The 27786-nt window shown below is 48.3% G+C and overlaps 2 protein-coding genes and 1 long non-coding RNA gene across 7 annotated transcripts in view, besides 12 other annotated features; 2 read left to right on the top strand and 1 right to left on the bottom strand.

Annotated features, from left to right (window-relative positions):
- Window position 1: 1 nt before the first annotated feature.
- On the bottom strand, window positions 2–26265 carry RPAP3-DT (RPAP3 divergent transcript). The gene is made up of 4 exons (NR_183480.1): window positions 26190–26265; window positions 13081–13206; window positions 12654–12753; window positions 2–3466 (listed from the first exon to the last, which is right to left on the bottom strand). It is a non-coding gene; the product is annotated as an RPAP3 divergent transcript (long non-coding RNA).
- Window positions 5204–5263: a silencer, noted in NCBI's record as "silent region_4395". NCBI's record gives its function as "represses an Ori minimal core promoter by ATAC-STARR-seq in GM12878 lymphoblastoid cells {active_cell/tissue: GM12878}" and the evidence as "EXISTENCE:reporter gene assay evidence [ECO:0000049][PMID:35858748]".
- Window positions 6229–6348: a silencer, noted in NCBI's record as "silent region_4394". NCBI's record gives its function as "represses an Ori minimal core promoter by ATAC-STARR-seq in GM12878 lymphoblastoid cells {active_cell/tissue: GM12878}" and the evidence as "EXISTENCE:reporter gene assay evidence [ECO:0000049][PMID:35858748]".
- ENDOU (endonuclease, poly(U) specific) lies at window positions 6863–22619 on the top strand. Of its 3 annotated transcripts, NM_001172439.2 has the most exons (10): window positions 6863–6994; window positions 11478–11600; window positions 14159–14224; window positions 14698–14835; window positions 15295–15463; window positions 15854–16053; window positions 18965–19078; window positions 19731–19837; window positions 20578–20720; window positions 21434–22619. In NM_001172439.2, the coding sequence occupies exons 1-10, from the start codon at window positions 6940–6942 to the stop codon at window positions 21549–21551; spliced, it is 1233 nt and encodes a 410-aa protein (NP_001165910.1). In that variant the 5' UTR covers window positions 6863–6939; the 3' UTR covers window positions 21552–22619. The 3 variants fall into 3 exon arrangements, with proteins under 3 accessions (NP_001165910.1, NP_006016.1, NP_001165911.1); NM_006025.4 differs by lacking the exon at window positions 11478–11600; NM_001172440.2 differs by lacking the exons at window positions 11478–11600; window positions 14159–14224.
- Window positions 14108–14157: an enhancer, noted in NCBI's record as "active region_6259". NCBI's record gives its function as "activates an Ori minimal core promoter by ATAC-STARR-seq in GM12878 lymphoblastoid cells {active_cell/tissue: GM12878}" and the evidence as "EXISTENCE:reporter gene assay evidence [ECO:0000049][PMID:35858748]".
- Window positions 14498–14617: an enhancer, noted in NCBI's record as "active region_6258". NCBI's record gives its function as "activates an Ori minimal core promoter by ATAC-STARR-seq in GM12878 lymphoblastoid cells {active_cell/tissue: GM12878}" and the evidence as "EXISTENCE:reporter gene assay evidence [ECO:0000049][PMID:35858748]".
- Window positions 26012–26161: an enhancer, noted in NCBI's record as "active region_6257". NCBI's record gives its function as "activates an Ori minimal core promoter by ATAC-STARR-seq in GM12878 lymphoblastoid cells {active_cell/tissue: GM12878}" and the evidence as "EXISTENCE:reporter gene assay evidence [ECO:0000049][PMID:35858748]".
- Window positions 26012–27109: a biological region, named in NCBI's record as "H3K27ac hESC enhancers GRCh37_chr12:48099027-48099528 and GRCh37_chr12:48099529-48100028".
- Window positions 26093–26387: an enhancer, noted in NCBI's record as "tiled region #11797; HepG2 Activating DNase unmatched - State 1:Tss, and K562 Activating DNase matched - State 1:Tss". NCBI's record gives its function as "activates a minimal TATA promoter and a strong SV40 promoter by Sharpr-MPRA in HepG2 and K562 cells {active_cell/tissue: HepG2 | K562}" and the evidence as "EXISTENCE:reporter gene assay evidence [ECO:0000049][PMID:27701403]".
- Window positions 26108–26607: an enhancer, noted in NCBI's record as "H3K27ac hESC enhancer chr12:48099529-48100028 (GRCh37/hg19 assembly coordinates)". NCBI's record gives its function as "activates a minimal SCP1, AML or CMV promoter by ChIP-STARR-seq in naive H9 embryonic stem cells {active_cell/tissue: H9 hESC(naive)}" and the evidence as "EXISTENCE:reporter gene assay evidence [ECO:0000049][PMID:30033119]".
- Window positions 26302–26381: a silencer, noted in NCBI's record as "silent region_4393". NCBI's record gives its function as "represses an Ori minimal core promoter by ATAC-STARR-seq in GM12878 lymphoblastoid cells {active_cell/tissue: GM12878}" and the evidence as "EXISTENCE:reporter gene assay evidence [ECO:0000049][PMID:35858748]".
- Window positions 26323–27786, top strand: part of RPAP3 (RNA polymerase II associated protein 3) — a 44782-nt gene continuing 43318 nt past the window's right edge. For all 3 annotated transcript variants that reach the window (NM_001146076.2, NM_001146075.2, NM_024604.3), the window contains exon 1: window positions 26323–26401. The gene's annotated coding sequence lies outside the window, so the exon portion shown is untranslated. The remainder of the gene's footprint in view (window positions 26402–27786) is intronic.
- Window positions 26452–26741: a silencer, noted in NCBI's record as "silent region_4392". NCBI's record gives its function as "represses an Ori minimal core promoter by ATAC-STARR-seq in GM12878 lymphoblastoid cells {active_cell/tissue: GM12878}" and the evidence as "EXISTENCE:reporter gene assay evidence [ECO:0000049][PMID:35858748]".
- Window positions 26608–27109: an enhancer, noted in NCBI's record as "H3K27ac hESC enhancer chr12:48099027-48099528 (GRCh37/hg19 assembly coordinates)". NCBI's record gives its function as "activates a minimal SCP1, AML or CMV promoter by ChIP-STARR-seq in naive H9 embryonic stem cells {active_cell/tissue: H9 hESC(naive)}" and the evidence as "EXISTENCE:reporter gene assay evidence [ECO:0000049][PMID:30033119]".
- Window positions 26772–26861: a silencer, noted in NCBI's record as "silent region_4391". NCBI's record gives its function as "represses an Ori minimal core promoter by ATAC-STARR-seq in GM12878 lymphoblastoid cells {active_cell/tissue: GM12878}" and the evidence as "EXISTENCE:reporter gene assay evidence [ECO:0000049][PMID:35858748]".

Here is a 27786-nt window from a genome sequence, read left to right as displayed (position 1 = left end):
ATGGCATTAGGGGAATTTAATGGCATGATCAGGTGGCAAGGTCCAGAGATGATTACTTAGGGTGGGAGAATGTTACAGGGGTCCTGGGACACAGGGCATCCAGGGTGGGAATCAGAGGGAGAGGTAGGTGGCCAGTTTCACCCTCTCAGCGTTGCTGGGGCTGAGCCCTGCAGGAGCAACCTGTGTGCTGGAGGGAGAGCCTGCACATGCAGGCTGGACTCTGGTGGCCCACGGAGAAGGTCAGCAATCTCTGTTTCTCTTCTCCGGTTCTTGACTTTGCACCAGGCAGCTGTGGATTATCTCATCAAATAGAGCACAAGGCTCAGGAGGCTGAGCCATGGAGTTGCTGCTCTTAGCTTAGCCCCATTGCAACTTTTAGCTTCCCCCAGAGCAAAGCACTGTTCCTAAGGCTGCAGGCCACAGCCCCAGAAAACAGGTGGTTCCTTTTGGCACCAAACCAGGTGAGTTAGACAGTGCGACTCATCAAAGGGCCATCCCCAAGACTTGAAAATACCGAGGGTGCACGTTTTTTAAATGAAAATATTATCTTTGGAATTATAAAATAAATATTACATTATAGAGACTGTAGATTAGAGGAGCTGCCACCTTCTCACTATTGTCATTTTCAGAACTTTTTTTTTTTTTTTTTGAGACGGAGTCTTGCTCTGTCGCCCAGGCCGGAGTGCAGTGGCGCGATCTCAGCTCACTGAAAGCTCCACCTCCCGGGTTCATGCCATTCTCCTGCCTCAGTCTCCTGAGTAGCTGGGTCTACAGGCGCCTGCCACCACGCCCAGCTAGTTTTTTGTATTTTTAGTAGATGGAGTTTCACCATGTTAGCCAGGATGGTCTCAATCTCCTGACCTCGTGATCTGCCTGCCTTGGCCTCCCAAAGTGCTGGGATTACAGGCATGAGCCACTGCGCCCAGCCCAGAACACTTTTCTTTGTATTTTTTTTATTTTTATTTCTTGGAGACGGAGTCCTGTTCTGTTGCCCAGGCTGGAGTGCTGTGGTGAGATCTTGGCTTACTGCAATCTCCACCTCCCTGGTTCCAGCGATTCTCCTGTCTTAGCCTCCCAAGTAGCTGGGATTACAGATGTGCATCACCACGCCCAGCTACTTTTTGTATTTTTAGTAGAGATGGGTTTTCACCATGTTGGCCAGGCGGGTCTTGAACTCCTGACCTCAGGTGATCTGCCTGCCTCGGCCTCCCAAAGTGCTGGGATTACAGGCGTAAGCCACCGCGCCCAGCCACAGAACATTGTTAACATTCATTTTTCAGGCTTTTCCTAACCATCCTATCTAAATTACGCCCTTCGTGGCCCTATTTTTTTTTTTAACAACAAACATCTGGCCTTATTTATTAGGCACTGTTCTAAAACCTCTGCAAGGATTAACTTATTCAATCCTCACCATAGCCCTCTAAGGTACTCTTACTTGTTCTATTTTAGATCTACGGGGGAAATTGAGGCACAGAGGGGTCAGGGAACTTGCCCAGGATTGTACAGCTGGTGGGTGGCAGAGCTGGGATTCAAACCCAGGCAGCTTGGCTTTAGAATCAACAGTCTGAGCCTCATGTCCTGCTGCCCAGATCTGGCTGTAGACGCTCTTTATTTATGTCTTTCTTTCTCTCCAGCTGCTGAGCTGCTCACCCTTTATCCACTTTGCTTATCACAGTGTCTGGCACACAGTGGCATTCAAGTGCTATTTGTCAGGTGAATGAAGGAATGAATGAGAAAGGGGGAATTTCCCATAACCCAACTACCTTAGCACAATAATTATGGTAATTTTGACAGATTGTAGATTTCAAATCATGGGTCAGGAACCGCTCCTGCCAGTCCTGTTGTCCTGTCATCATCTTTGAGGCCAGAACAGCCCAGCTGTGCCAACATACCTGGGGCGAGAGGCAGCCCATGTTCCTCACGCCAGCGGTCAGCTGCGGGTTGGCCTCGGGCCTGTCTCTCTCTTGATCTCGCCCTTACTCACTCCCTCGCTGTCTCTCTGAACCTCCTTATCGCTGTCTGCCTGTCTTGCCCACATCTCCTTGTTCTCATTGTGCCTCTAGACCCTCTTTAAAGCCAGTGGAGTTTGAGGACATGCAATAGTAATTTTATAATCATTACTGGGCAGTGTAAAACAAACATTAGCACAGCTGGCAAAGAGTGTAGGCAGATGGTTCCTTTGGGATCCTAAAAAAGCAGGATACAGCTGAGATCTCTGTGACACTGTGGATTCAGAAACTGCTGGAACTGTCCAGTCCCTGTGGTGGCTGCCCCTTGTAGGGGTGGTGCCAAGGGTGGCTTGGGGGTTTAGGTCCTCCTAAATTTCCATTAGGCCCCAACAAATACACAATATAGCTAAAAAAAAAAAAAACCCAGTGTATTTGTTATGAAAATGCAACTTTGAGATGAGTCTCTAGACCCCACGTCCCCCCTTTGGATAAACTCTGGTGCTTCACAGCTGCCGGAGACCCATTTGCTGTCCTCTGCTTTGCTAACCATCTTCACTGAGTCTTTAATATCAAGTGGGGCTGGAAGACTGACCAGTGCCCTGATTCATTTACATATTGATTCATTGCAGGTCTCAGGCACAGGTTGATAATTATCTAACTGTTTAGATTCTAACACACATTGGATGGCAATACAAAGGGCCCATGAGGCAGGGTCCCCTTCTCAAAGAACTTCAGAGGAAAAGTTAAATGGCAGTGCAGGGGTTAACTGATACCATGTTGGCAGCAACAGATGTTGGCAGTCAGAGATGACTGTGCTGTGTCAAAGGCACACAGGACAAATATGCACAACCAAGCTCCTAGGCAGGAGAGATCCTGTGGGCTGAAGAGAGGTCAGGCTTTGTGGAAGAGTGAATTTGCCCTGGGGCCGGAGGATGAGTAGGAGCTGGACAGCTGAGCAGGGAGGGTGGGGGAGGGTGTTCCAGGCTGAGGACCAGCATGGGGTGTGGCTGGCAGAACTAGAAGTGCAGCATGGGACTATGTGATGAGTGGGCCTAGTTGGGAGGTCTGACGGATATGCTCAGCCCAGGCATTGAGTGTGATGCTGATGTCAGGGCTGCCCACAAACTTAAACAAAAGCCTGGGAACACAAACGTGGTATACACCATACTAACCAATGTGGGAAAGAAATCACACATGGAGCCGCTTCTAAGACACATTCAATAAGAGCAGACATGGGTGACCATCCTGCGCTTCTATCCTGTGGGCCAGGGCAGCACTCCCAGGAGAACCAGCATCTTCATGTGCCAGGGTCCCCTTGGGAGGTGAGTCTGGGCCTCTCCTGTGATGGGCCAGCTGCAGGGTCCTTCCACACGCAGGTCCTCTGCTGAAATGACGTGGCCTTGGTTTTGCAGGAGAACGAGGATGGTAGAATAGGCTGGCCTGGGCAGGTGTCCCTTTTAGTAGTCCTCTGGGTCAGTCTCTCTCAAGGCCTGTTGATCCTGACAGACCCCAGACACCTGTGGTAGCCCAGAGATGAATGAGGCCTACTTCAAACAATGCCCTAATGCTGAGGCTTATCTGGCTTCTGTCCCACCAGAAACCAATCAGTTCCAGGAAGAGTTTTCCAGCCTAGCCTGAACCCTGCCAGTCCAATAACAGCATAGCCCCTGATGTGTAGTGAGCACTCGATAAATATTTGGCTGATGGAATTCCCACCCTCTATGTCTCTCACAGCTGAGTGCCTCCCAAATCCTTGCCCAAGCAGCCTCACCCTCTTCCCCACTCTCCAGACCTCCACAGAGGACACAACTGCACCATCTCTGTCGCTATTCTCATCATTGAGACACCATCCACCATGCATCTCCCTCCACTCTCTCCCTACCCCAGCTCTCCAGGACCCAGCCTACCACAATTCCCAACTTGCTGGCTGGTCCCACTGTGGCTTCTTGGGAAGTCTGCAAGGATGGAAAGCCCATGTGAGTACCTAATGGCGGGGGGTACTCAGAAAGAGGAGCCGCAGAGTTCTTGGTCCACAACAGGCTAGCAGGGAAGAGAAAGCTGCCTGAAATCTATCTTAATGTATCTCTCTCTCTCTCTCTCTCTCTCTCTCTCTCTTTTTGTGTGTGTGTGTGTGTGTGTGTGTGTGTGTGTATACACACATACATGGACATCTAAGTTTATGAGGCATCTTTGCATGAATATGTATTGATATATTTTCATTTATTGGCTTAATGGATTTTTTCTGCCTTTGTCAGCATGTCTTCGGTTATAAAATCTGGGGTTTGGGAATCCGATCTGCGAAGAGGGCGTATGAGCAGCCGTGGGAGGGCATATCCCAATTCCCCACCCCTCAACCCTCAGCACCAGAGGCAATGAAGGAGAGGCAGGACAAGCACTTAGGGTTGTTTAGGGAGTTGTGACATCCTATGAGAAGTGGAACTAGATGGCAGTTGAGGTCCCTTTAATTCCAGTGAATTTAAATCTAGACTGCTTTGTATAGTAACCAGACATGATTAAGTGGTCGTTCAAAGTGTGATGTTGTGGGGCAATGGAGCAACGGTGCTTATGAGAATGACCCCTGGTCAGATGGATCTGGGTTGAGGCACAGCTGCATAACTTAATGATTGTGTGCTTCTGGGCACGTCTCCTAACCTTTCTGTGCCTCAGTTTCTTCATCTGTAAAATGAGGACAGCAATAGTACCTATTAAGGTTGTAGTGAGAATCAATGAGATAACACATATGATAACACACGTGGTAAGTGCTCAGTCAATGTTGCTGGTGGTTGTTAAGGCTGTTATTCTTATTGAAGGATGCAGTTTTAAACACTTGGGTACTCAGATGAACCATCTGGCTCTATGGAGTCATCCTTAACTGTCTTCCCCAGCTCCAATCCTTGCTCCTGACCTAAAATTCCATTAATGGGGGGAGAGCTCCTGCCCTCAAAACACCATCCCATGGCCAGTTCAGCTGGACACTAGGAGAACCTAGCCAGGCTGTACTCCACTCTGACAGCTTTGGCTTCAGCTAGGGTCCACCCAGCTGGACACTTGGAAGGGACAGACCATTCATTCCCAAATTCTGAGGCATCATTGCTTCCCAGGCCAGCCAGTGACACCCTCCTTTGTCCCCTAAACAACAGGAGTCAGAGACACGTTTATGTGGTGCCAACCCAGGGAGGATGAGGATTCTGAGGGGCAGTGACTCTTCAGCCTGCTTTTGGATTGTGTAAATGAAATCTATGCAAATGAAGCAGCCATTTCTGCTCTTACTCATTCTAACCAGCTCCCTTCTGGGAGAGAAGGGCTAGGCTCACTCTTTAGTTGTGCTTCCGGGCTGGATGCAGTGGCTCACACCTGTAATCCCAGCACTTTGGGAGGCCAAGGTGGGCAGATCACCTGAGGTCAAGAGTTTGAGATCAGGTTGGCCAACATGGTCTCTACTAAAAATACAAAAATTAGCCAGGTGTGGTGGTGCATGCCTATAATCCCAGCTACTCGGGAGGCTGAGGCATGAGAATTGCTTGAGCTGGGGAGATGGAGGTTGCAGTGAGCCGAGATCACACTGCTGCACTCCAGCCTGGGCGACAGAGAGAGAGATTCCATCTCAAAATATATACATACATTGCACTTCCTGTGTGAGCCCCTTGCAAAGTTTGCTTGCCCTAGGCTTGTCCTTCTCTCTACCCCTGAGTCCCTATGTTTGGACTCCTCTCTACACAGCAACAGGCTGGGGGATTCTCTTTAACCCACCAGCAACTGTTCAACCTGGCGCATGGGCAGGAAAACTCGAGATTAAAGTCTGAGAACCTGGAAGGGATTGTCAGATCCAACCCCATCATTTCAGATGAGAAAGCTGAAGACCAGCGAGAGGAAGAAACTTCTCCTGTTAAAGCACACTGGATGAAGACGTGCTCCACTCCCAACCTCCAGAAAAAAATCACTGATAGAGTGGCCTCCACTGTTCACCAATTTTGCCTTTTTATATGATAGTTTTCTTTCCTGAGAGGGTTGAGAATCCCCATGCAGTGCTCTTTCTGGCAAGGGCATCATACTTGGCAGATTTTACCTTTATTATCGGGGAAAACTGGACAGTCACGGGGAGCTGCTCCCCTTCTTTTGGACTTGGAAACAAAAGAACCTCACTGGGGAGGAGTTCCTGAGGAGAGGAGTGTAAGTTGGGGTGAAGGGAGTGAAACCCTGGGCTCCCAGGGGAAGAAGAGTGGGCCTTCGGCTGCCTTTAAGAGGCCTCTTGCCCCTCCCCTGCCTCATAAGGAATCTGAAACGTTTAAACCCCAGAGGCTGACTCAGTAAGAGTCATTTGCATAATATTTTAGAGTGATTTAGCCATGCGCTCGACATGTGGCTGATTTAGCTATGCTGGGCTTGGTGGTCATAAGAATAGCACTGGTTCTGACCGACACATCCTCTATCTCTCTGTCCAATGACCCCAACCCTTGCTTGGGCACTTACTGTTTGTCAAATTTGGACCAATCACCTTACTGTGTGCCAGTGTCATGCTAAGCTCCAGGAATTTGAAGATGAATCCAACCTGTGGCCCCTTGGAAAGTCAGGTCTGAGACTTGGAAGTAGGTGTCTGTTTGGTGGGGATCACCCAAAGATCAGCCCATGGGTGTCCCTAATTTGGACAAAGAACCCTCCAAACTGGACCCATCTTGGTGTGCCTGCCTGCATGACCTATTTTTTAAGCTGCAAACAGCTAGCATTACCTGTTCTCAACATCTGGCATTACCTACCTTCTTAGTCACCTTCCCTCAGGCTTCAAACAGCTGTAGGGCCCCACCTCCTATCCATCTAGGGTCCCTCCCTCCCCTTTTTCTTCCTGAAAGGATCTGGAGACACCAGCTCCACAAGTCCTGGTGTCTTTAAAAGGATCAGCTTGAGGAATAAGGCTCGTCTGAGAGCTGTGACATTCATCTGACTCTAGTGAAAGTCCAACAGCCACTCCCTTTTTGGCCTCCAACTGGGCACCATGAGGGCCTGCATCTCCCTGGTATTGGCCGTGCTGTGTGGCCTGGCCTGGGCTGGTAAGTCACTATCTGGCGGGCATGGGATTGCTGGTGGGGCGGGATCTTGCCTAAAGAAGCAGAGAGTTGGAGAACTTGGTAGAGGGCAGGGCCGTGGGACAAGGGAGGGTGAGCTCTGTCCTAAAGCCGCAGAGCACTTTTGGGTTGTCCTTGTCTGAGGGTGCAGGCGTTGGTCCCGGAATGGACTGGACTATGTGGAGAGAGTTGCAGGGCTGATGGTCTGATTTCATGGAATTCCCTTCTTGACACCTTGGAGGATCAGCCCCAAATATCCCTTAGTCCAGCCTGACTTTTGATCTCCCCAAGATTTTGTTGTCTGGGGCCACTGTAAGGAATAAAGCTAGGGCTGGTGTCCATGGGGTCTGAGTGGCCTGGCTGCCCTTGGTCACTCCTTCCACTGCCTGGTGACAGGTGAGGTTGTTTAGGGTGTGATGTTACTTTGGGTAGAGCCTTAGGAGGTGGGCAGGCTTAGGAGGAAACTGAAAGGACCTTTGACCAGGAGGTGGGCCTCGTCCTATCTGGGGCTGTACAGGGGTCAGAGGAATGGATCTCTGTTGCAGTGTTAGGAGAATTGAAGAATACAGAAGGGACCTGGCCCACAGTTATGAGAGGTCCAGGGGATGGGACTGGCAGAGGAACAGGACCATGTTCCTGTTTAGTAACTGTGCAAAATGCTGGTGCTGATGGGTTAATTGGTAGCTAGTGGGTGGGTGGGAAGGAGTGCCAAGGGAGGGGCTGAGCTGAGGAGTGTGGGGAGAATCCTCCTCTGCCCACAGGAGAAAGAATCCTTCCACTGGGTTGCTCCTGTGTAGGACTGTGGAAAGGATTAAATGAAATAATGTATGAGAAGCACCTGGTGCAAAGTGAGATCTCAGTGAACTGGAAATTCGCTATGATTATGACTATAAATTTTCTTGGGAGAAACTTCCGCTTGGGGTCATTTCCAACTGGGTTGTGGAAAGGAGACCCTTATGGGATTTCTAAGTGGAAAACCCCTGGAAGAGGAAGTTGTGCCTCCCAACCATGGATGAGATAGTGCATCTTACCAGAAACCAGCTCTGCCTGGGCCCTAGTGGGTGGAGAGGCAGTGGGAGAGCATGAGGGTGGGCCTGGGAGCCACCAGCCTCAGCCCTGTTGGTTGGGAGGAAGGTGGAACTTGGGGGCTTAATGTGTAGGGGTGGCCAGCGGGCTTGGCATATTCCAGCCTTAGGGAAGGAGAGCAACTCTGGATATTTGGTCCCTGGGGGGCAGAGGTAGCAGTGGCTTTAGAAGTGCAGGTGGAGCTCTTGCTGCTAGGTCGGAGGGCAGTATCTGCTTTGGCTGTGGGATCGATGGGGAAGTGAGGTCAAGTGTATGAGGCTTCCTAAGGTGGCAGGGAAGAGGCTCTGCACTTGTTGATACTATCCCAACATCTCAGAACTGAGAGGCAAGAATATGAATCACATGGGGAATCACTGACAGCCTCAGGTCCTCCTTTATGAGCTGGATGTCTGTGGAGAACCTTGGTTGATTTTTTTGGTTGTGAATGGAGGCAGGAAGCTAGTCCAAGGGGTGAGGCTTCTTGGTTGACTAGGTCTCCATGGAAACAGCATCTGGGGCCTTCTAACGGTACAGATGTGTAGGATGTCCCAGTCATCAGAGGGGCTGAGCACCAGTGTACAGGGACACTGTGTCCACCCAGGCTTGGGACCAAGCTTCCTTGATGGCCAGTATGGATAGGGAGTGGCTGTTCTGGCATATTGAAGTCTTAGAAAGTGCAGAGAAATTGAGCATTTCTTGGGGGAATGGAGGGAGAATCTGAACCCGAGAGAGGAAAGGCTCAGATGAAGAAAGGCAGAGAGTCAGAGAGGTGAGGCAGAGGAACAAGAGGCACAGGTTACTACAGCAGTGATTCAGGCACCTGGCTTGGGGAGCAAGGCTTACTCAGAGTGTTGGTGTTAATGGTGCAGTGTGGGGATGCTGGAGTGAGTTGTTAGGGTGACTAGTTACTCATCAGAGTGTCCCCAGAATGTCACAGCAAAGTGCCTATGAGGAAAAGTTCCTCCCACCCCTGCACTCCACTGTCAAATCCCAAGGTCACCTTGAAGCAGACTAAGTGCACAGAGAAATGTGAGAAAGTGCTGGCATGGGGCTCTTGCTGGAGACAAAGTTCTTGAGCAGAGATGAAAAAGCCCACTCAGCTTGGGCCGGCGGGGGTGCTCTCCTGCACGTCCAGCTGACTGCTCGCTTGCAACCCTTCTCAACTGGTGCCAGCTGCTGGAATGAAGTGAATTCTTTCCCTGGACTCTGCTGATTTGGCCCATTAAAAACATTGCCCTGATTTGCCTGAATTCTCTCCCTTTGGATTCTGGGTGTACTGCCAGGCTGACTGAGCAGGGAGCTGATGGGCTGAAAATTTCTCCTTAAGGTCTTTGCATTCAGGCTCCAAGGGAGCATCATTTAACATTCAAGAGGAGTTCCTGCCGGCTTGAAGGAACAAGTGGCCTTGGGCCTGGTCTCTTTTAGGGACTGGAAACCTGCCTTCCTGCCCACCTTGGAGGCCTGACAATGTGAAGTTGTCTGAGGACCCGGGTTAACCTTGACCCAATGCCTCTCTGATGTAAAGAATACAGACCTGTAGTGATGAAGTCAGCCAGGAAACCAGCAACACAGATGTGCTGACAACCCAGCCCAAGGGATGGCCCTGTTGAAACCCTGGGAGAGTGTCAGCTAGATTAAGTGTGTCGACGGGGCCACAACACAGGGAAGACTGCTCCAGCCAGTCTGAACACTTGTCACTTGGAAGATGGGCATGAAATATTGCCACCGTTTATTCACCTAACAAATACTTCTATGGTACTACTATGTGTCACTTGCTGTCCTAAGTGCTTTACATATATTAACTCATTTAATTCTTACAAATATTCTATGAGATAGGCTCCATTATCATCCCACTTTTACAGATACGAAAACCAACGCACAGAAGTTCAAATAACTTGCCCAAGATCACATAGCTAGAAAGCAGTAGAACCAGAATTCCAGCCTCAAGCAGTTTGGCGCCAGAGTCTAGGTTCTTGACCTCTCTGCTATGCTGTCCCTCATTAGACAAAGTATCAACCTTAATCCCAGAATCCAATACTAGGGACTGGTAACCAAACCCAACCTCTAATATTTAAGCTCTAACCCACTCCAGGCTTAAATTAAGATACTACACCTGTATTGAATCATAACCAGAACCAAGCCCCCAAACAAAACAGGGATTATTCATCTTTTTCTCATCCTGACACATTCCTCAACCCCGAATGTCATCTTAAGTCTATTCCTATTCCTTACCCAAATATCAATACAAAATTGTTAATTTATCAACTAATTTAACTCAAGCCCAAATCCTAACTGTAGTTCTTAACCTAACTAACCCCAACCCTGGTCCAAATTAGGTTTCAGTTTCCTCACTGATACAAATTCTGATGCTGATGGTAACTCTGACTCTGATCTTGACATTCTCTGTAACCCACAGTATGACCTCTGAACCCAGCGTTCGTGAAATCCAAACCTCAGGAACCTCAAATCGAACAAAGACTCTGTTATCACCCTTAAAGCCCAGAGTGGATAGTGGGTTTCCACTGTTCCTTCAAAATGTCTTGTCTTATGTCCCTTGCGACCAAAAGCTTGCTTCTGCAAACCATTTGGCTGCAGTGGGGGATGTGGTCTGTGGTTACATAATAGAATGCTATGCCAGAGCCCAATTCTCACCCGCACCCGCCTCATTCCCCACCCTGAGCATAAATTCATCTGAATGTACTCCAAAGACGGGAAAGAACAGAAAGATGTGACACAGGGGGAAAGAGCGTGCAGAGAAGACCAGAAGGGGAGACAAGAGCAAAGAAGCAAATAACATAACAGGGATGGAATAAGAGCCAGCGGAGGGTCAGGGGCAGGGGACATCCCTGGGGCAGCATGACATGACAGGTGAAGGGGGCCTGTGGGCTACACCCAGTTCACAGACCTCTTTCTTTGGTGTGCTTAAAGTGTTACAAGGTTGGAAAATTTCACATAAAAATGAAGATTTATCTTGAAAAAAAAAGGGAAGGCTCTGGCAACACTGAGCACACATCCCAACATGGCCACAATCGGCTAGAGCTGAGCATCAGCTGCAAATTTCAGATGGAGCATTGCTCTCAAGTTTGTCACGGTCTCCATTTCTTCCTACTGCCTCATACCCTGCTTCTTTACTTGCTTATGTTATGGGCCTAACCCAAATAGGGATTTGGGTTTGTGATCCTGGTCTCTTTGATGAGCCTTGAAATATTTGGTGGGTGTTGGGTGGTGGGGAGGAGGCTTATGTTGTGCATGGGAGGCTGTGGATGTACTTCTCCTTTGCAGAGAGTAATGCCCTTCCCTGCCAGGTACACTCCTGCCCTGGTCTGTGAACCCTCCTGCAGGAGGCACCCTGGGGAGAACAGGGTCTCCATAGAGCTGAGTTGGTGACCTTTACTGCCCATAGGAAAAATAGAATCCTGTGCATCTCGATGTAATGAGAAATTTAACCGGGACGCTGCCTGCCAGTGTGACCGCCGGTGTCTCTGGCATGGGAACTGCTGTGAAGACTATGAACATCTGTGTACTGGTGAGCCTCCTTGTGAGACGAAGGCATGTCCAGCCTGTCTAAGGGGCCACTGGCCTGGGTGTCCAGCAGGCCAGAGCAGCGTTCAGGACTCACAGGGGCTCTAAGGGTCTGGACAGAAAGCACTGAGGGACAGAGGCAGGGTCAGGAATTTGGCCACCACTTTTCTCAGGTTTTCTAGGATGCCCCCAACTTAAAATACAGTAGATGTCATTTACCTAGAATTTCTGTCTGAAATATCAGTTTTAACAATATCTTGAAAGTTTAAGTACTAAATTCTAAAAAAGGGTAAAATGATAAAAATAATATTTTAGTATGTATGACATTATTAATTGTTATTCAACACTTTAAATCACAAAAATGTAAAAATGGTAGCAAACTCTCACAACTTGTGTACTGCCAGGAAGACTGCATGGTGTCACAGTGACGGACACGATTCATACCACTCTTCCTCTAGTGAAGGGACCACGTGGTGCAACATCTCCATACCATCATTTCCAGCCTACCAATTAGAACAGGACATGCACCACCTTTAACTGCATAGTTTTAAATGAATACTTGAAAAAAATCTTGTATGAATAATCAACTTGTTTAGGTGCTTCCAATGTTGTCAACTCCCAGATTAATGATCTTCTGCTTTGTGACACAAAGCCTTGATGTCAAGCCATGCACTCTGACTCCCAGTTTTGAAAACATGGTCACTGAAGCCACGTTAGGTAATGGCCATCAATTTCACTGCATAATCATTGCACAGGTTGTGCGTTGTGCAAGGGAACCTAGTTAAGCAGCAAGCTGGACCAAAATCCAGTCTGTATCCTTCTCATCAGGTTTTGTGCACTGGTGAAGAGTTGTGTCTGCTGAGAGAAACAAGTGTGTTTTCTGAATTTGCCCAAAGGTGGTAGCCAGTCAAGCACCCACAGAGCTGCTTCCACTCGTATGGAAGCTTTTTTTCAATTTATACAAAAACACCATATGTATTAGTCCATTTTCATACTGCTATGAAGAAATACCCGAGACTGGGTAATTTGTAAAGAAAAAGAGGTTTAATAGACTCACCGTTCCACATGGCTGGGGAGGCCGCACAATCATGGTGGAAGGCAAAGGAGGCGCAAAGACACATCTTACATGGTGGCAGGCAAAGTGCGGGGGAACTGCACTTTATAAAACCATAAGATATCGTGAGACTTATTCACTATCACGAGAACCAGCACAGGAAAAACCCGTCCCCATGATTCAGTTACCTCTCACCAGGTCCCTCCCGTGACACATGGGAATTATGTGAGCTACCATTCAAGATGAGATTTGAGGGGGGACACAGCCAAACCATATCACCATATAAGCATATGTATTATACATTAGCACCACATATATATTAGCACACACACATACACCTCCTTCCCCAGGCAGGGAGACCCAGGCCGAGATCAGCCGGAATCAGAGCCTATGCCTTTTCTGCTGTCCTTGTGTCCCCACTTTTTCTTACCATTCAGAAAACACAGGAAGGCTTGTTCACCTTGGACCATCAGGCTGGCATTCAAGATAAAGGCAATACCCAGCGTAGTAGCCATTTCATCTTCAAGTTTCTGATTTGCAACTCAGAACCCCTTTCCTATAGAAAAACATATTGGAAATGATGGTTAGGATTCCAGCTCAGCACACAAAATTCTGTTTAGCATAAAATGTGGCTGAATTCAGAACTCCATGGATTGCCAGCACTTAGAACACAACCTGACACATAGTAAGTGATCAGAAGATGTTTGTTGACTGAAGAATAACCTAACTGGTAGTTCTGATGGTAATAACTTTCCAGCAAACTCACTAGTAGATTCTGAATCACTTTGTAACAGTACTGTTTGTTGGGTGTGTGGAGGGGGTGCTGGTGGGGGGATTATTCCACTGTGTGATGAGAGAGGAACTCAGAGTCCCCAGGAACATTTCTCCCCCCTGCATCACCCCCAACCTCAAATCCACCCTTCTCCACCCAGAGCTGAGCTACAGTCACTCAGCTTGCAGGTGAAGGGAAAGGGGCAGCAATAGGAATGTGCTTTTCTGAACATGCCTTTTCCCTAGACACAGTCTTTGTGGCCATTTCCAAGTGGGGCAAAGAAAGAAGGGAAGTTGGAATCTCAGGAAACAGCTCTTATTCCTTGAGGCCCTGAGAGTTTACCCTGAGCTCTGACGAGAAGTTTTTCTAGGTACAGGATGTTCCTAAGTGAGGGCTTTGTCATTAGGACAGCATCAAGCCTCTATCCATCTGTCAACTTTTGTTAAATCAGAGTTTTCATCACCGAAGTCAGAGTTTTCAATCCAGATGTGTCACCTGGGGAAATTATTTTCCTTTTTTATAAGTTTTCTATAATGTGTCTTCCATTGGAAACATCTTCCATTTTCTGTTTTCATCATCATTATTTGGTGCCTGTCCATTGGACCCCAGCCCCTGTTCAGAATTTGCTTCCAGTGCCCTTGCTTGTCCCCTGAGGCTGGGGAAACAGAGAACCAGAAACCAAGCAGCAGGGGAATTCTCAGGTTGTTGGTGACTTTATTTTTCTATCTACCTGCAGAGGACCACAAAGAGTCAGAGCCATTGCCACAGCTGGAGGAAGAGACAGAAGAGGCCCTCGCCAGCAGTGAGCCTGCCTCCCCAAAGGGGGGCCCTCAAGATAAAGCAGGAGGGACATGAGGGTGACAAGCAGGGGCGGCCATGGCAGTGGCACCAGGCCCAGGCCTCAGCCAGATGAGAGAGGCTTGTTGGATTCTGGGAACCTGGGCAGGAAGAAGCCTGGGGGGGCTCAGCCAGCCTGGGGGGCCATGGGAGGAGGGTAGCTAGGAAAGAGAGCCTGAGGCCTGGAGAGGGAAGTGGAAGAGATTTTATTTTTAGAATGAGAAGATTAGAAAAACAGCAGGCCAGAAAGTAAAGTTCGGCATCAGAAAGGACTTCCTGACTGTGAAGGGTGTGCACGAATTAGGTTTGTTTGTTTTCCTTCCCTGGAGATCTTTACTGGGCAGAGTGAAGACAGCCAGGCTAGGGAGCGACAGCCTGTGGGGCGTTCAGAGCGACCTCTAGAGGTCAGCCCGGGACACACCACCCCTCTCTTCTCAGACTTGTACTCGGCACCCACCTCCTGCCAGGGCCGCTGCTACGAAGCCTTTGACAAGCACCACCAATGTCACTGCAATGCCCGCTGCCAAGAGTTTGGGAACTGCTGCAAGGATTTTGAGAGCCTGTGTAGTGACCACGGTTAGTCTTCTGCTCCCTTAGCTAAGCTGCAGAGACAGAAGGACTTTAGAGCAGGTTCTCAACATGTGGTCCCTGGACCAGCAGCTTCAGCAATGTCTGAGAACTTGTTAGAAACACAAACTCTGGGGCTTCACTCCGGGCCTACTTAATTAGAAACTCTAGGGATGGGACTCACTGTCCTGTACTACCAGGGCCTCCAGGTGGTTCTGATGCATGCTCAAGCGTGAGACCCCTTCTAGGGGGAAGGGGCGGGGGACATTCTGTGGGCAATGCCGTGTGGTGATTTTACACGTCCTTTAGGCTCTGGGCCCCTGTCCACCACTAGGGTGTCCAACTGTGGCCCCCCTCCCTCCTTGCTGGCTTCTTGAAGGTGCCCAGGAGGGGAGGTACACAGATAATTTCCTGCCCGCCCCCCTTTCCCTCTGGCTCTGAGGCCACCCCTCTTCCAATTCCTCCCAGAGGTCTCCCACAGCAGTGATGCCATAACAAAAGAGGAGATTCAGAGCATCTCTGAGAAGATCTACAGGGCAGACACCAACAAAGCCCAGAAGGAAGACATCGTTCTCAATAGCCAAAACTGCATCTCCCCGTCAGAGACCAGAAACCAAGTGGATCGCTGCCCAAAGCCGTGAGTTCCCACAATTCCTCTTTCTACCCCCTAAATCTTGCCCCTATCCTTGCTTCTTTCGATGTCTCGACTTTTTATCCTCAAGTCAGGCACGATCAAAGGGAGAGCAGAAAAAAAATAGTTCTCCAGAGACAAAGCCATCTTGAGGGACTGTGGATATCCAGTTGGGAGGGTTTCTGTGATTGGCCAGGCTGAGGATAGAACAGCTCTTCCAAAACATGAGGTGGAAGAAAAGTGACCTGATGTGTGACTTTCAAGAGTACCCGAAGTGCCCCCTCGGCTCCTGAACCCAGCCCTCGCCTGTCTGCCCCTGGCCTGTCTAGAAGTCTCTGGAGGGGTCGCTGCCCTGTGTTTGGGGCTCTCAGTGGGGCTCCCCTCTGCCTCCCCCAGACTCTTCACTTATGTCAATGAGAAGCTGTTCTCCAAGCCCACCTATGCAGCCTTCATCAACCTCCTCAACAACTACCAGCGGGCAACAGGCCATGGGGAGCACTTCAGTGCCCAGGAGCTGGCCGAGCAGGACGCCTTCCTCAGAGAGATCATGAAGACAGCAGTCATGAAGGAGCTCTACAGCTTCCTCCATCACCAGAGTGAGTGAGCACCCCCAGGCCCCAGAGCGCATGAGTCTGTCTGAGCGAAGCCAGGTGGGCGGGGGAGGGGAAGGTTAGGAGGGCAGGTGAGGAGGCGGTGGGGACTCTGTGGAGGTCAGTGTACATCTGGGAGGGATGAGGGATGAGGCCAGGGGGAAGCCAAGGAGAGGTTAGGAACCCAACCAGGAGCTGGCACATCCTCTGGCTGGCTGGCTTGGATATCACCCCACCTTTGACTTCATGTTAACTGCCTCATGCACGCCCACCCTCTGCTACAGTCTCAGGGTTCTCTGCCAGGTGTGAGCCTCCCCTCACATCCCACCCCCACCCAGAGCACGTCTCAGCCACCTCCGCGATCCTGGAGTCAGCACCATGTTTCAGACAGGTAGAGTCGCTGACTCTACTCCCTCCTCCCGCAATAAAGTCCAGGAATCGGGTTGGCTGAGTCCACCTTTTGGCTGGGGAAACAACATCAGAGAATCAACAAAGGTTCAGAGCGGGAAGTCCTATCGGGAAGAGTTGTGGTTGGAAAGCCTCCAGGTAGAGACACATTTGAGTCAGACCAAAAAAGATTTTGGCCGCAGGACTTCTTGGCATGGAGTTGTGTTTGTTACTGTCCTGCAGATTCCTTTCCCAACTCCAGGCAGCTGGGCTTTGTCTCAGGGGTGGCTCTGTCCGGGTCTTCCCTCGTTGTCCCTGAGAGTGCCTTGGCTCAGAGCTGCTGCCTCCCTTAAGAGTTGGTGACACTGTTTTTAGGTAAAGTGACAGCGACACAAGAGTGACTCTATGAAGAAGTTGCAATCCTGTGCTGCCCCCTGGCGTTCTCTTCGTAGTAAATACACAAGAGAATCTTGGAGGTCTAGACTGAGCAAGGGCTTTTCAAATGAGAGAAACGGAGGCCAGACAGGCTAGACTTATCTGAGGCCACAAATGAGTTGGAAGCGGAGCTGGGGCTGGAACTCAGGGTTCCGATGCCAAGGCCAGGCTGTCCCGTTACTAACTCTCTCCTCACCTCTCTCCTTGTCCAAATCCCACTTATCCTTAAAGTTCTATGATAATTCATATCCCACCGCATTTGTGAAGGCTGCACCTGCCCCAGCTCACTCTGGCTTTCGGCACCTCTGCAGAGTTTGGAGTGTGGTCCACAATAGCCTTGGGCCAGAGAGACTTGGTTTAAATCTTGGCTCTGCCACTTGCTAGTGACTTGACCCTGGGCAATTTATTTGACCTCTCTGGGACTTCCCTTTGAAATGGGGTTTTTGAGGATGACTGCTTATAAAGCACCCAGTAGAAAGCCTGGCACTCAGTCCTTGCTCAGTAAGGGGAACTATTCAGTGTGTGAAACCATTCTCTGTTATTTTATGTAGTCTTGTTTTCCAAATGTGTTTTAAGTCCTGGAAAGGAAGGAATATGTCTGGTATCTCTTTTGTATTCACCATATAAAATTGTGGGCAGTAAACAGTCAATCTTTGATGGTTCCCTCATTGAAATCTCCAGCCCTGAACTTTCCCAAGGGCCTTCTCAACATCTTCCACTTAGCTATCTAACTGATATTCACACAGAACCTAGTGTAGAAATAATTTTTGGTTCCCATCAAAAATACCTGCTCCTCTCTGGGTCTTCCCCATTTCATAAATGGCGGGCATAACCCATCCGGTTGCTCAGGCCAAAAGCCTAGTAGTTAGATGTAATTGTTCTCTTTACCTCAAAGTTCCCTACTCCCATCTCCTCCATCAGTAATGTAATGTCCATCACTCCCACTTCAAAATATGTCCTGGGCCTACTGCTTCTCTCTCCTCCTCCGGAGTTAACACCACCATCTAAGCCCCATCAACTTCTTACGTAGACAAAGCATGAGCCTCAAGACTGGTCTCTCTGCTTCCACTCATACCACCCCATTGCCTTTTTAACATACACAGCCAGGGTGATCTTTTAAAAGGTCCTATCATACAATTCCCCTGCTTAAAATCCTTCAGTGGCTCTGCACTACCAAGAAGCTATAGAGTTGTTAAAGAGATTGGTCTCTGGAGCTAGACTGAGTGGACTCAAGTGCTGTCTCTACCTTTCATTAACTGTGATCTTGCATGAGTTTTATACTTTGTCCGTCTCAGTTTCTTCATTTCTAAGTTGGGGATAATTAGTACCAAGCTTATATGAAGATTCAACGTGAGGATTCAGTGTTACATTGAAAGCACTTAAAATGGCAGGCACTAGGTGGACAGAAAGCAATTAGTAAATCTAAAACATTTTTTGTTTTATTTCTATTTGCCTGAGACCTGACCTTCTTGCCATGGCTTGAAGGATCTGACCCTTGGCTGCTTCTCAAACCTCCTCTCCTACCACTCTCCCCTCCTGCTCCAGCCTCACTGACTTCTTTTAGTTCTTTGAGTAGCAAACTCAAGTCTGCCTGGAGCCTTTGCTCTTGCAGTTCCCTCTACATGGAGGAATCTTCCCCACAGATCTTTGTGTAGCAAGTTCCTTATCCTTCAGCTCTCTGATCAGTGCTACCTTTTCACAGAGGCCTTTCTGATGTTCCTTTCTAGAAGACCCCCCCCCCCCGCCAACTTATGTGCCAGCCCTTTCCCGTCATTACGGGCTACTTTGCTTCATAGCACTGATCTGAAATCATATTTCTTATTGTTTACTTATTATTTGACTCCTCCAGTGGAATGTAATATAGATAGAGACCGTGTCCTTGCTATTCCCAGCTGAATCCTCAGCCTTTAGATCTGGATTTGGCACAAAATAGGCATCCCATAGATAATCATTGAATTAACAGCCGAACACATTTGTTGATTGAACCCACATGTTTCTTGACGTGTGGGAGCAAGTAGCTCTTCAGGTCTCTGTTTAGCGCTCCCAGGACCTGGCCCTGCCTCCCCTCTCCAAAACCCTTTGTGTTCCTCTGCAGATCGCTATGGCTCAGAGCAAGAGTTTGTCGATGACTTGAAGAACATGTGGTTTGGGCTCTATTCAAGAGGCAATGAAGAGGGGGACTCGAGTGGCTTTGAACATGTCTTCTCAGGTGGGAGCACTTTTCTTGGAAAGAAAGAGTTGGAGGGATGAAGAGGAATGGCTTTGCTCAGGAGCAGGGCAGCCCTGGGTGTGGATTAATCAGCAGTCCAGCCAGCTAGTAGGGAGGGACCCACGCACTCTCCCCTGCCCATATGGCAGGGGGGCGGGGGGGTGTCTGAGGAGCCATTCTGAGAAACAGTCTTTTCTGGAGTACCTAAGGGGGAAAGAAGACCAGATGCTGGGGCTCCCAAGGGGGTACATCTAGGACAAGACATGTGTCTGGGAGCAAGTTTGCCTACCTCTGAACAGTCCTTTGCTTCCAGGGCCTGGCCAGCTGCTTCCCAAGAGGGCCATGGTCTGTTCCCCCCTATTCTACCCCATAAAACTCCCACCAAGCCTGGCTTGCTGCTGGAGTAATGGCTGAGAGAGGTCATCAGGATCACCAGAAGGAAGGATTCTCCCAAGGGCTTGAGCCAGAAGGGGGGCCTTCCTGAGGTGAGAGATAGGACTGTGAGAGACTCTGGGGACTCACAGCAAGGGGTCAAGCAGCTAGAAGTCAGAGACTGGAGAAGGGGGAAGCCTTGGCATGGGGTGGAGAAAGGGGATTGGAGGGGAGGGTGGGGAAGGAGCCCAGATTATCCATCTTGGACTCTTTATTATAGGTGAGGTAAAAAAAGGCAAGGTTACTGGCTTCCATAACTGGATCCGCTTCTACCTGGAGGAGAAGGAGGGTCTGGTTGACTATTACAGTCACATCTACGATGGGCCTGTGAGTACACGGACTAGAAAAGCCTTGTCAGAGCCCAGATATCCTGCTCTCACTCTGTGTTCCAAACTGTCGACTTGCCTCTCAGCCTGACTCTCAGGGGGCAGCCCCAGGTGATTGTGACTATCACGTCCTCACCTGCTAGACAGCCACTTTAGCCAGCCAGGACACTGGAATTCCCTTCCAAACAGTGAAGGCTCTAGAACTGCAGGGGACAGGAGGCAGGAGGCACCATATCGGGGTGGGAGCCTGGGGCCTGGGGAGGATTCTCAGAGGGAAGAACAAAGATATGTAATTACTCCCTGCCTCAGTTTCCTTAGAACGTGGCTGAAAGTTTCAGCCTGGCTAGTTTGAGCTAAACTTCATACACTTTATAAGACAGAAACCTTTGCTGCCCGGTACCAGGAAATAATTTGGGGGCAGTAAACGATCCTTCTCTTCCATGTGTGAGGGCCACTGGGAACAGTGATATCCTTGATATCCAGAGGTGGATCCTATGGATAGTGATTTTGGCCTTTCTGGTAGATGTGCACTGGCAGCTCCAGGCAGAGGGTCCGGGTGGGCTCAGACACCTTAGCAAGGCAGACTGCCTCTTCTATTTAAAGAATCCAGTCTCCCTGGAAGGTTCACACAGGCCCCTAATGGACCCTCAACAAATACTGTCTGACTGTTGCCATTGGGCACCCGTTCTACTCCACTCTGTGGCACTCACCAGACCCCCTTTTCTGCCCTTCCCTCCACAGTGGGATTCTTACCCCGATGTGCTGGCAATGCAGTTCAACTGGGACGGCTACTATAAGGAAGTGGGCTCTGCTTTCATCGGCAGCAGCCCTGAGTTTGAGTTTGCACTCTACTCCCTGTGCTTCATCGCCAGGCCAGGCAAAGTGTAAGAATGGGGCCAGCCAGGCCTGGGGGCAGACTGGGGCTGCAGGCTGTCCTCAGCCATCACAGAGTCAAGAGACCTGGACTCTGCCACAAAGAGGCTGAGAGGGCTTGGACAAATCTGTGCTTTGGGCCTCAGTTCTCTTGCTTGAACAATTAAGTTTTTGGATTGGTTTGGTGGCTGCCAAACTTCATCTTAGCAGCAAAATTATCTCCCCTCATTCCCCCAAAGTGAAATCTTACGCAGGACCTTAATATATGAAATAGAAATGGAGTTGTCCTAGAGCTCTCAGCCTCTTTATTTGTCCCCTGAGGCTACTTAGGGGAACCTAGAGCTCCAGAAAGTACCATTAGGAACCACTGGGCTTCAAGTTCTCTAACATTCGGACACGTTGAGTTCTTCCACTTCTGAAACCCTAAGCAAATGTTTAATTTCTAAGGATTTCACCTCCAGAATCTGGGATTTTGGAATATTGCTCTGGGAAAGATGAGGAACAGCATTCTTTAAGAAGACAAGAAATAAGGCAAAGATTTTGAAATGGCTCCTTGCACATGGGGAGCTGGAGGCAGCTGCTGAAGAAAGCAGTGCCAGCTCTGTCTTTAAGGCTGTTTAAGCAGAATGGAGCCCTTCTGCTTCAGTTGGGCTTGATCCTTCCAGCCCAGGGAGAGGCAGCGTGAAGTGGGGAGCTCCTCTGATTTCAGGCTCTTTCCCCACAGGTGCCAGTTAAGCCTGGGAGGATATCCCTTAGCTGTCCGGACATATACCTGGGACAAGTCCACCTATGGGAATGGCAAGAAGTACATCGCCACAGCCTACATAGTGTCTTCCACCTAATAGAACTTCGAGCCAGAAAGGGGCATGAGGGCTCTTGCGAGACTGAAGTGCTATCTTCTCTGGACTAGAGAGAAGAGGGAGAGGACTGGAAGGGATCACCAAATCTCAAAGCAATGAGAAGCATTCCTAAATCCCAAAGTGCCCACATGGGAAAGAGATAAAATGTACAAATTAGAAAAATGTGGATAAACAGTCAAACCTTTATCCTCTAGAATTTTGGCAATGTTGACTAAGAAACAGAGTCCAAGCAGAGAAGGTAGGAACCCTCCATAGCTCTCTGCCCTGATGTGTGGGGGAACTAGGAAGAAGTCCTTTGACCTCACCAGGCCTCATGCTTCCCTTTAATGTAAAGGGAAGGGGTTTGCCCACTTTCCTCTTTTTGGGGTTGGTGAGAGGGCAAACCCTGATATTTTTACTGTGAAGGTGTTTTCAGTTGTTCTTAGGAAGAACAGCTGATAGAAATTCAAGATTACTATAATGGCTGTTATTATACACAGCTCTGTAAACTACCACTCAGCCCTGTGTTGGGGTCCTCAAAGAAGTAAGGCCACAGTAATCAAGCAAGGGCCTTTGGTTTTTTCCAGAGTTAGATCCTCTCAGAACAGAGTCTGGGAGAACTCCAATGCTGAATGGAGAAGGGTAATAGGTTGGTGCAGTGAATGGGCTGGGGGTGGGGTGGCCTTCTCCAGGCCTGAGTGTTTTTGTGTCCAGCTCAGTATCTGCAACAAGAAGTTTCCCACTTGTGGATGTTTAGTGCAGCCACAGACTTGTATTTTGATCCCCAATTTTTTTTTGAAAGAGTTCTCCTCATAGGAGGATGATTCAGCATCAGAAGAAGAAGGAACCCATAGCTTGGTGTCATTAACATAATTATTTTAAGCCTTATCCAGCAGCCATAATTTGAATAACTCTACGAGACCAGAGAGACTGTAGTTCCCTATTTTAACCTCAATTATGCATTTGTCCCCCAACCCCACTGAGAACTAAATGCTGTACCACAGAGCCGGGTGTGAACTATGGTTTAGAAGGTTCAAGTTTCCAATTAAAGTCATTGAAGAAAACTTGAAATGAGTGTCTTCTTTGTATATGGCCTCCCTCCAATGTCTGTCTCCCTGCCTTTTCCCTAGAGCAGGGCTGGCAGTGATACTTTTGCTCTAGAGTCTTTTCAGAATGGCTTGAAGAATGTGGTATCTGGGTGAAGTCTCTGTTGACTCACTAAGTCTCTCTAGCCAAGAGGGGAAGAGAATTCTGTAATATGAAGAGTGGAAGGATCATTGCATACAGATAGTGAGGCGGCCGGTGGGGGGGTGGTAAATGGAGATTGGTGGTCCCCATCCCCAATAACCAGTCCCCTTTATCAAATACACAGGAGTATAAGGACATTTCTGGATGTAGCTTCTGTGGTTGCAGAGGTTGACCACACTGGGGGAAGAGGAGATGCTAAAGAGATACAGAAAAAGACTTCTTATCTGTAAACAGATTACTCAAGCCACAATGCTAGAAAACGGTCAGGTATGAAGAGATACCTCGGGCAAGTTTATAGCCTGCAGATAGATGAAACAGGGCCTTGTCCTGCCCTTTCCCAGAGATGTTCACAGTCAATAGGCAAGACAGTGAGTCAGTAGAGCACAGGGGTAACAGGTACAGGCTCTGAAGTCATGTTGCCCAGGTACCTAGCCAGGCTCTGTTGCTTACTGGCCATATGAGCAAATTTCTTAATTATTCAGATTGTTTCCTCACCAGTCAAATGGGGATAATATTACCATTGTTGTGAGATAAGGAATGTGAAATAACATGCTAGTCTTTCTTATAGTAATTATTGTCTCACTTATTATACAGATTTAATTTTATACTGGGAGAGGCAATTTACTATCCCTGCTATCAGCCTTAACCTTCACCTACTGGTGCCCAGTACTTGTGCTCTTCATAGGCCTCTTCAGAGGTCTTCCAGGTAGTCCAGTAGGAGACAGAAAGACAGAAATGCAGGAGAGAGTACTGTATTCCAGGGTCTGGGCCTTAGCTTTGCAGGAGAGAAAGGTAAGAACTAACATTTGTTAAGCTGTTACCATGTCCCAAGCTGTGCTAAGTAGTCCTTTTATATTCATTTTCTCACTCTGGTGGGTATTTTTATCTTCACCACTTTAATTTTACCTAGACAACTGAGGATCAGATTAAGCCACATTCTTAGTCAGTAGCAGAATCAGGATTGCAAAATTCAACCCTTTTCCTCATGTTGTAGTGAGCCTGGATTTCTAGTAGTATCTACTCACTTATTCATTCATTATTTTTTAAAGAATATTTATTAAGACCCCTGACAGAGGCTGCTGGTTACCCCTCAGTATCTGCTCTCCTCTTCTTCCTTATTCACTGAAGTCTCAGTTTTTAGGTACACAAATGACTGTCAAGAGTACAGACTCTTGACCTCCCTTGCAACCAGAAGTAGGCGTGTGTCTATGTCCTCACCAATGGCATGCAAAAGGAAGTATTCTTAATGGGCAGGGGGTACCGTTATTCCCACTCTTGCCCTTTTCTGCCGACTGGATTTCAGACAAGATCGTGGGAGCTTGAGCAGCCAGCTTGAACCATGAATGAAAGCCATATGCTGAAGATCACAGAGCAGCCAGGAAGGAGCCTGGGTCTCACACCGAAACTGTCACACTAATCCTGGATTGCTTATATTCAGTTTTACATGAAAGAAAAATAATCTTTCATGTTTAAGCCACTCTTATTTTGGGCTTTCTGTCACATGCAACCAAACTTAACATAGTATCTCCATAACAGGAAGTCCCAAGGTTCATTTTCTTCCTAAAGTTACTTAGCTAATACTTCCTTTCTTAAGATTTACATTAACTGTCAGACTCTTTAACTATTTGAAAGAGCCCAATAATTGTTTTGGATATTAAAATTAATAGCATTTACAATCATTAATTGCAGCATTTTATTGTTGCAATAATAAACACTCCTGTTTATTTCCACTGACCATTACAACTGCAACACATAAAACACATAAAGAGGTTTGTCTCTTTGAAAATAACTCTTCAGGTATTAATGATAAGTTCAATTGAGATGACTGGAGTAAATGAATAAAAGAGACTTAAAAGAAAGGCATTATTTACACATTTTGTTGAAATCCATTTAAAGATAACTGCCAATAGAAGTGGGGAGGTCTGCAAGGAATCTAGGAAAGAACTTAAGGTGGCCTAGGTCTGAGCTCACAGGAGAGAAGGCTGCCATTGCAGGCACAGGTTTTGTGGGACAGCAGGAGCCTCAGAATTAGGTGATGATGACCATCAAAACCATTTGATTAACTTTTCTCACTTTGACTCTATATTCACTAAGCTACTTCTGATTATTGTATGGTTTGAGAGAGAAAAAGAGAGAGAAAAGCAGGGTCACCTAAGGGTCTATGAGGTTTTACTAGAGCAGCCAGCTAGCCCCCTTATCTCTCTTCTCAATCAACTCTGTCAGAATTAATAAAACAAATGTGGTTGCTTTTGTTAAAAACACCAGTAAATCAATATTTGCTTTTAAATACTTAATAAAAAAATTATTAAAAGTCAGTTCTCTATCTCCCTAATACAACCAAAGAATCATTTCATTAGTAAATATTTTGACGTACACTTAATGATTTGACTACTATGATTTTAAAATATAAAGATACCAATAATTAAGCAATGGGAAGGATGTGCTAATGATATGACCTTGTAAGACAGCACTCCAGCCTAGTTCTTCATTGATCAGCGCCTGGGTTAGTGGCTTCCAGCTTCAAATGCACAGCCGTATCCTATGCTTTAAAAAATTCTGATTGGCTTCACTCAAGACTAGTTACATCAGAATCTCTGGGATAGGACACAGAAATCAGTATACACACACACACACACACACACACACACACACACACACACACAGACACAAACACACACACACACACACGTGTATATGTATATACTCCCTAAGTGATTCCAAAGCTCAGTCAAGACTGAGAACCACCGATCTGGATTTTGAGGATATTTGAGGTTACAGTCCTGTTTTAAATGGAAAGTTTCATTTGTTTGTGTTTGCTTCTGTGGACTTCTGCAATTATTTTTGTTTTGCTTTCGTTTAAGAGTTGTCATTGCAACGAAGACTCCCTCACACGGGAAGCAGAAGCAAAAAGTGTTAAAAGTTTCGTTCTTTTTTCTCTGTAAGCCAGAGCATATCTAAAGACAGATTGTAACACTGGCACATGTCAAAGAAAGACTCAGAGATAGATTCACTTAGAAAAGGGGTTTACTTGCAAAAGATGCGAGGAGTTAGACGGAAGGACTAGTTTGCCAACCAGTACTTAAAGGGAAAAAAAAATCCCCTAAAATTACCAGGATTACCGGTTGACAGTAGTCTGTTCATGGTGGAAAAACAGTAACTTTCTCACATGGTTATTATACTCACAAAGGTCAGACAAATTAATGTCACAAAGGTCAGAGATTAGCAAGGTAAATATTAGGGATTAAACTGTTTAAGGGAGTCCAGGGAAATATTCAAGGTTTTATTGTTTTGGAGATCAGAAAATCAGGATGATCCTGCAGTTTTTGGGTTATCTCCTTTTAAGCTTAGTCATATTGGAAGCAGGCAGAAGGCTCAGATATTGCTTTTACATACCCTCAAGCCACCAAGCTGGTTCCATCCTGAGAAGGAAGTCACGAAGCTGACTTCTGCGCGCGCTCAAGCCCAGGCTAAAGGGGGCGGGGCGAGGCCGCGGGGGCTTGTGGGGAAGCGCAGGAGGCGGGGCTTTGCGTGAGTCACTGCCGGGCTCGGCGTGAGTCGCTGCGGGGCTGACGGGGTGGCAGTGCGGCGGGTTACGGCCTGGTCAGGTGAGCGGGCGTTGCGGTTCTCGCTGCCCGGAGCAGCGTAGGAGATCCTTGGGGTGGCCGGTGGGAGGAGGGGTAGCGGTTATGGGTACCGGTGAGGCGGGGCGGGCCGGGGCTGGCGGTGGAGGCGCGCGTTGAGGCGGCGCGTCGGTGTCCAGGGCAGCGGCGTCTCGGGTCGCGCGTTCCCGGAGGGGCTCGCCCCCGCAACCCGGGCCTGCGCGCTCTGCTTTGCAGGCGGACCCTCCACCCTGCTGCGATTTTGCAGTGCTCGGGAAGGCAGAGCCGCCCTCCCGCAAAGACCGAGGTGGGGCCCGCCCCCTTGCGGCGTGGGTGTGCGGTGTTCGCCGGGACAGCGGGTGTGAAAGTGATACCCCCAGCGCTGGAAGTTTTTGATTGCTGGCTCGCACCCCCGCCCCATCGCAGGGTCCCTGGGAGAGTTTTTGGGCCTGCTCGAGCAGCAGCGGTGATGGGTGAAATGGAAAAGCATCTAACCCCCGTCAGCATCTCACTGACTTGTTGCGCTTTTATTCATTTATTTGAGTTCCCAACAAAGCGTTGTACTAGTTTTGTTTTTGAATGAGTTGTGCATATATGGTCAAACATGGACACTGCCTGAAAGAAGCTTAAACCTAATTTAGTTGTTGAGGCTACGAGTCAGAAGACCTATCTGCATCTGCAACTGTCCCTTCTTAGTGAGGTATTTTTCACTGTCCTAAACAAATGTTTTTCTAATTCCGTCTCTCTCCCTCCCACCTTACTTCTCTTCCCTCCGCCTAAAGCTTTGACTCTTCTCCTACCTTTTTGGAGATTTTGCCCCATCACTCATCCTTTTTCCTGTATCTTTTACTTTGTTGCTTTTTCCCCAGACTATGCTCAAGAACAAGTCTTATATTATCAAAGGCAAATGTACTGTAATCTCCATATAATCTCATTTACGTAACTCATTTCATTCCCCCCCCTCCTTTTTTTTTGGTCCCAGGCTGGAGTGTAGTGGGCCCGTCACCGCCCACTGTGGCCTCGATCTCCCGATCCTCCCACCTCAGCCTCCTGAGTAGCTGGAACTATAGGCACCCTCCACCACGCCTGGCTAATTTTTGTGTTTTTAGTAGAGATGGGGATCTCGAAGTGTTGCCCAGGCTGATCTAGGAACTCCTGAGCCCAAGCTATTCCCCCTGCCCCCCAACCTCTGCCTCCCAAAGTGCCGGGATTACAGGCATGAGCCACCTGCGGTTGGCCTTCCACCCTTTAAAAAAAATCTTATTGAAACTCTAAATAGAGGTCAGGCGCGGTGGCTCATGCCTATAATCCCAGCACTTTGGGAGGCCGAGGTGGGCGGATCACTTGAGGTCAGGAGTTCGAGACCAGCCTGGCCAACGTGGTGAAACCCC

This window comes from Homo sapiens, chromosome 12 (genome assembly GCF_000001405.40).
Source record: "Homo sapiens chromosome 12, GRCh38.p14 Primary Assembly".
Taxonomy (NCBI): domain Eukaryota; kingdom Metazoa; phylum Chordata; class Mammalia; order Primates; family Hominidae; genus Homo; species Homo sapiens.
The sequence above is the reverse complement of the archived record's forward strand: the minus strand, read 5'-3'. Positions and strand labels throughout refer to the sequence as shown.